General features: G+C 36.3%; 1 long non-coding RNA gene across 1 annotated transcript; it reads right to left on the reverse strand.

Moving 5' to 3' along the window:
• Nucleotides 1-4927: 4927 nt before the first annotated feature.
• On the reverse strand, nt 4928-5515 carry LOC124900724 (uncharacterized). The gene is made up of 2 exons (XR_007058160.1): nt 5291-5515; nt 4928-5183 (listed from the first exon to the last, which is right to left on the reverse strand). It is a non-coding gene; the product is annotated as an uncharacterized LOC124900724 (long non-coding RNA).
• Nucleotides 5516-6000: the final 485 nt, after the last annotated feature.

Raw genomic sequence — 6000 nt, forward strand, 5'->3', positions numbered from 1 at the left:
TTGTTTTTGTTTTGTTTTGTTTTGTTTTGTTTTGTTTTTAGGTCTTCCTTGGCCCTTGCTTTACAGTATCTTCCCAGGCTGGCTGTCACATCACACTGTCAAAGGCACAGCTTCAATCAGGAAGCCCTCTTTACACAGCTCTCTGCTTCTACGATCTACTCCTTTCTGACCTATTCCCACCCCATTCTTTATGATCACCTTTCCATTAAATTATCCAATTTGAATATTTTCCAACTGTTTCCTGCTGGGAACATGATTGGAATAGCCCACCCCTGAACAACAATATTCAACACTCTGCTAATTCCCAATCCTACGTCACATTTCTACCATGCTCCTTCTCACCTCCTCTCTCCCCTGCTTCCACGAAAGTACCTATTCCTTTGTTTCTTGCTCATAAAAAGAAAACAATCTGATGAAAAATACATTCACACTAATATATGCATGATGTAAATATTTAAGGTATTACCTTTCCTTCCATGCCATCTCTAAACTTACCAACAGTATCTGCATGTATGCTCTCATCACAAATGATATCTAATGGCAGAATGCCAGATACCTGTTGAAGGTGTCTTAGGGTCAGATATTTTTGCCATGTAGGTTCAAAGGTCTGTAGTTAAGGTGAGGGATTGTTGGCTATGGCTGAATTTCAAAGCTACTTTTATAGCACCTAACTCAGTCTCTCCGTACTTTGAGTCTGTTGGGTGATATAAAAGCATCCAGTAGATACAAATTGAGAAGTAATATGTCAATATTAAACAAGAATAAAAAGGGCATGTTTTGGATGGAAAGCTTCAGGAGGACAGAACTTTCTATGCAGAATTTTTATGTATGATCTCCAAATCTAAGCACATGGGAAATTTGCTAAATTAAAAAATGCAGTAAGATAATAGAGTCAAATATTTTTCAATAAGCATATTATTTATCATTTTATGTAATTATGCTCTTCCTGTGTAATATAAATGATGTCATATGTACATTAATTAGAATCTTAAAAATATAACCTCATAAAAATTTCCTGTGGACTTTTTTTTACTAGACACATTGGAGGATTGAAGACTGAATTGTCTGTACATTATCAAATAATAACCCAAATAAAAATATGCTTCCAGACATGTACAGATGGCTGTTTTATAATCACTGAAACTTAAAAAATGATGAAATATGGTTGGCCTTTAGGTTTCCTGGATGAAGTCTATTACAGGATGATTTAGCATCTGAGGATCCAGAGGATGTATAACAAGTGTTATCACCAAAATAATGTTGGATAAAGTCTTCAGCCGAGCAGAAGTAAGAAAGCAGCCTGGGGCCTTGGGAACCTTCTGTCTGGCCTGTGGCACCGTTATCTGCCACAGTATCTAGTCTGTACAGAAACCTTATTTTAATTTCACTTGGGATCCATATGTTTCTGCCGACCTTTCCTTGCAAAGATGACTTTTTTCCCACATTTAGCTATTTTCTGCTTTCTAAGCATGTGGATAATTTTTTTTTAATTCTTTGGGTTTTGTTGAAGTGACATTTCACTAGCTAAGACAAACAAAGATTCTACCATAAGGGTAGTGATTAAAAGAGTTTGATAGTATCTTAAATGTACACACAATATCATAAAGAATGTCACAGACTGTGTATTCTATATTCTGACACTAGCACCTATGCTCCTAATGCCATATTTGTTTAATCCAATAGATTAATCGTCTTTAGCTTCATTCTTATCAAAATGAAGTCAAGTTCATTTTAGTCAATTATTGGGTGTTTTTTAATGTACTTATGAAAATATTAGAAAACCATATGGACACATTACTCATTTTTAATCCTTGCAGAAATTGAGTTTTTAGAATTTCATTTAAAATGTGTAATGTTTATCAAGAAGGCATGGTTGGAATGTGATTACATATAAGAGAAGGCTTTAACCTCACCAACTGTGTTGAAATATAGCTGGAGAATAAGTGTCAGCAGATGGTCTGCATGAAGTCAAAGGGCACACTTCTGTCAGTGCAGTTTCAGCACCACCCAGGGATAAAAGTGCCTTAACCAGCTGACATGGGTATTCTGGTTGGTTGGCAAATACAGCCTCAGAGCGTGCTGGGGGACATCATGCACCATAATTTAATGAGATTGGCCATTAAGGTCATCCCATAACTGTGCTCTGATTGCATTTCTACTGACCAATTTTAATTTCCCTGGAAACTTTTTTTAACAGGGGAGAGGATGTAAAAACCAGGAGACATCAGTATTTCAGTTTATTTGGCAGTTACACTTCTCACTGAAAATTAATAAAAATTTCTCACATGGAGTTATAAAAATAGTTACTCATAACTAAATTATTGTCTCTGTCTTGCTTCCTTAGCTATGCTAATGTTTAGGCAATTTCTGTAGTTTTCTTTCTTTTTTACCATTCCTCTCCATTTCTTTCTTCTATTTTTTCTCTTTTACTTAGTCCAGGGTAAAACTGAGTCTTCCTCATTTCTTACCTTCTAACAAAGGCAACTGTAAAGAGTTATCTTACCTATTCTACAGAGCAATTATTAAAATCAAGTGAAAGAATATAAGTGAAGTATTTTTATTAAATGTAATACATACAATTCTACAATTAAAACTAGTACCTAACCAAGAATATTGTAAATAATTAATCCTTTGAATTTATTTATATGACTCCTTGTTCCACAGAGGAGTTAAGGCAAGTCAACAAAAGATTATTTCCTAAATGTATCTCTCTCCTTTCTTGCTAGAATTGGCATTGCTTCTCTTAGTCTGTTTAAGACAAATAGAGAATATAAAGGACAAATGTAACTGCCCTTAGAAGCTGTACTGTTCTTACCCCCCTCTTCCATGTATATAGTGTGTGTGTGTGTGCACACGTGTGTGTGTGTGAACTCAGAGTCAAATACTCATTCTTCCCCTTACTCTGAGTTAATTTTTCTTCCCGTCTTTCACAAAGCATTCTCATAATAGTATTAATTAAACTTACTTTAGTACTGTAAGTACTTAAATACATTATTTCACTTAATATAACCCTAAAGGCATCATTTTTTTAGTGCTTTCTGTGTGCTTGATCTTATTTTTCCATTTACCAAGGTAAGAAAACTTAAGCAACATGAACAAAGTTATAAAACTCATAGGTGAAGAAGCTGAACATTGAACCTAAATATGTTTGACTCCATGGTACTATACTGATTTCTTTTATTGTAAAATTTTTATAATGTAACACGTTTATCATTTTTCTATTCCACCTCTAATGTTTGATTAGAGGAAGAAAATGGATAAAGCTATTTTCCAGTATTTTACGAGCATCTTCTATCATCTCTTTATTTCAAATAATATGTAATATCAAATAACATGTTTACTGTGACATTTCCTGATTTTTCACTAAAGACTACATGCTATGAAAGACAGAAATTTAACTCATTCATAACATTTTTCCTCCCCATCTTCCCAGAAGATTTATATTACTAACAATAGCTGCAAGTCTTTTTTTCATAGACTTTATTTGCCCAGAGAACAATTCTACAATCTCCTGCCTTGGGAATATATATTTGCCCCTAAGTGCTCTGGATGTTAAATACAGAAAAGGGTTCTGAGGGTCTCATACTTCAGAATGTAAACTGTCATATTTTCCCCATTTGTATTATTGGAATTGGAATGCCTCCTTATCACACTGTCAACCTATCCTCCTGCTTTCAGCCACACCCTGCTTTCTCACCTTCAGAAACACCTAGTACTTTCCATTCATGAGCATTTCCAGAGCTCAGCAATTTTAATTAGCTTATTGGTAGGTTGTGTTTCAGCTTTCTTAGATCTGAAAAGTCTGTTACCATTCATCCATCTTCTTGGCAGCTTCCCAAATTATCAGTTATTCCCAAAATGTACTGGAATGTTAAGTGAGTAATTGAGAAGTGAGGTCGTATACTTTGAATTAGCAAGCCAGATCAACCAATGAAAACACACTTGCCCACAGCATTCTGGGTGTGTTTGCCCCGTCCAAAGCTATTTAGGGAATGAAAATGTTGGTTGAGAGAGGAAATTGCAGATTATCCCATTTCCATTTGTCTATAATTAAATAACCTTATGCAAAAATCATTTGTAAGAACTATGCTCCCATCACTCTTATTTCACATGGAATCTTAGCTCGTCTTCTTGCAAGCAATTCCTCTCCCTAAATCATATATTCTTCTTGTCAGCATATTCCTCTTGTCAGCATATTCCCAGTACCTGGCATGCTGCCTGACCTGTAATTGGTGTTCAGTAAATGTTTGTGAAATGAATGAGTGCTAAGACCTATCCCTCAGTTAGAGGTTTAGTTCAGTTTAGCAAGAAAGATTTGGGGGTTATTGTCATTGTTGTTTTCAAATGGAGCTATGTTGCATCGATGTTAGCAGTATAATTATAGAGAACAGGAATGAAAACCTCATAAGAAACTTCCCTGTACTTCCTTGTTCACAAGTATCACAAAATATGAATCTTTCTTAAGATATTTTACATGATTTTTACTTTAGATGGTGTCTCAGTCCATTTGGGCTGCCATAACAGAATACTATAGACTAAGTCGCTTATAAACAACACAAATGTGTTTCTTATCATTATGAAGGCTGAGAAGGCCAAGGTCAAGACACCAGCAGATTCAGTGCCTGGTGAGGGCCCACTTCCCGGTTCATAGATGGCTATCATCTCATTGTGTCCTCATACAGTAGGAGGAGTGAGGGAGCTCTCTGGGGTCTTTATTATAATGGCACTAATCCAATCTAATCACCCCCCCCCAAAAGTCCCACCTTTCAAATGCCATCACCTTGGGGGGTTGGGATTTCAACACTGAATTTTAGGTGGACACAACAGTCAGTCTATAGGAGATAGAATCTGGAAATTCAAGACAAGAGGAAAAATATATGTAATGTGTAAATGTTTCACATTTGAATCTTATCCTCAAACTCAGATATTCAAGAATTTCATATTATTTATTTTGTTCTAACTAGTGAATTTCTACTGCAGCAGAAAGTCCCTGGACTAATAAAACAATTTCAGTTAATCCTGTGACTCCCCCATTCCCTTTTCTAATATTTACCTACAATTATAGGGGCTTCCTCAGTGACCAAGTATGTAGATATGTGGAACCAGTGGAGGGAGAAAAAGTAGAAGCTGGTCTTCAGTGTCATCTGTTCAGTTCAGTTGGCCACATGCCAACCAGCATTATTCTGAAAGAAGGGAGGGAGTGGAGGATTAATTTAGGAGAAAGGATAGTGGGAAGGAAAAAAGGAATGCAAAGAAAAACTTGATTAATATCTCAAAAATATTATCTCACCTTTTTAAATTAGAATCCCATATTCCAGTTTTTATTTTATCACATCCCTACCCAAACCTCTTCCTTGTTTTTATTCATCTTTCCACAAGCTCTCTGCACCCCATTTCCACTTTCCCCAGGGTCTGATTTCGCTGGCTGAGGCTGTTTGTTTCTGTCTCACAGTTGTCCTGCTGCCAATAGGGTGGGATGACCAGGCTGGGCCAAGCTATCCGGATAATGTCATTCCTGGCAGGAAGAGAGATTTGCAACAGTAACACACATTGCGGCTTCCTCACATTCCGGACACTCCCAGGAATCATGAGGGGCCCACTTATACAAATTTGGCTCTCCAGTTCATTCATCTGGCAGCCAAGACCCATGAACTAAATCTGGTTTCCAGCAACAGCAGTGATAACATCAATATCAAAACTGGTTTGGTGCATTCTACAAATATAAAAATTTGCTTTTTTTTTTGGCTTTGACAAGTACTCCTGCAAGCAGTGTTTCTGGAAACCACCTCCAATCATTATTTTTACTGAGAAATTAACTTTTTATGAATCATAACAATAATGACAACTGACATACAGTAAGCACTTTTCTAGGCTTTGGCTAAATATTTTACACACCCTCTTTCTCTAAATTCTCATTACAATATCATCTCCATTTTACCAATAAAGAAATAGGATTTGGCTGGGCGTGGTGGCTCATGCCTGTAATCCCAGCACTTCGGG

The sequence above is a fragment of the Homo sapiens genome, chromosome 4 (genome assembly GCF_000001405.40).
Source record: "Homo sapiens chromosome 4, GRCh38.p14 Primary Assembly".
Classification (NCBI taxonomy): Eukaryota; Metazoa; Chordata; class Mammalia; order Primates; family Hominidae; genus Homo; species Homo sapiens.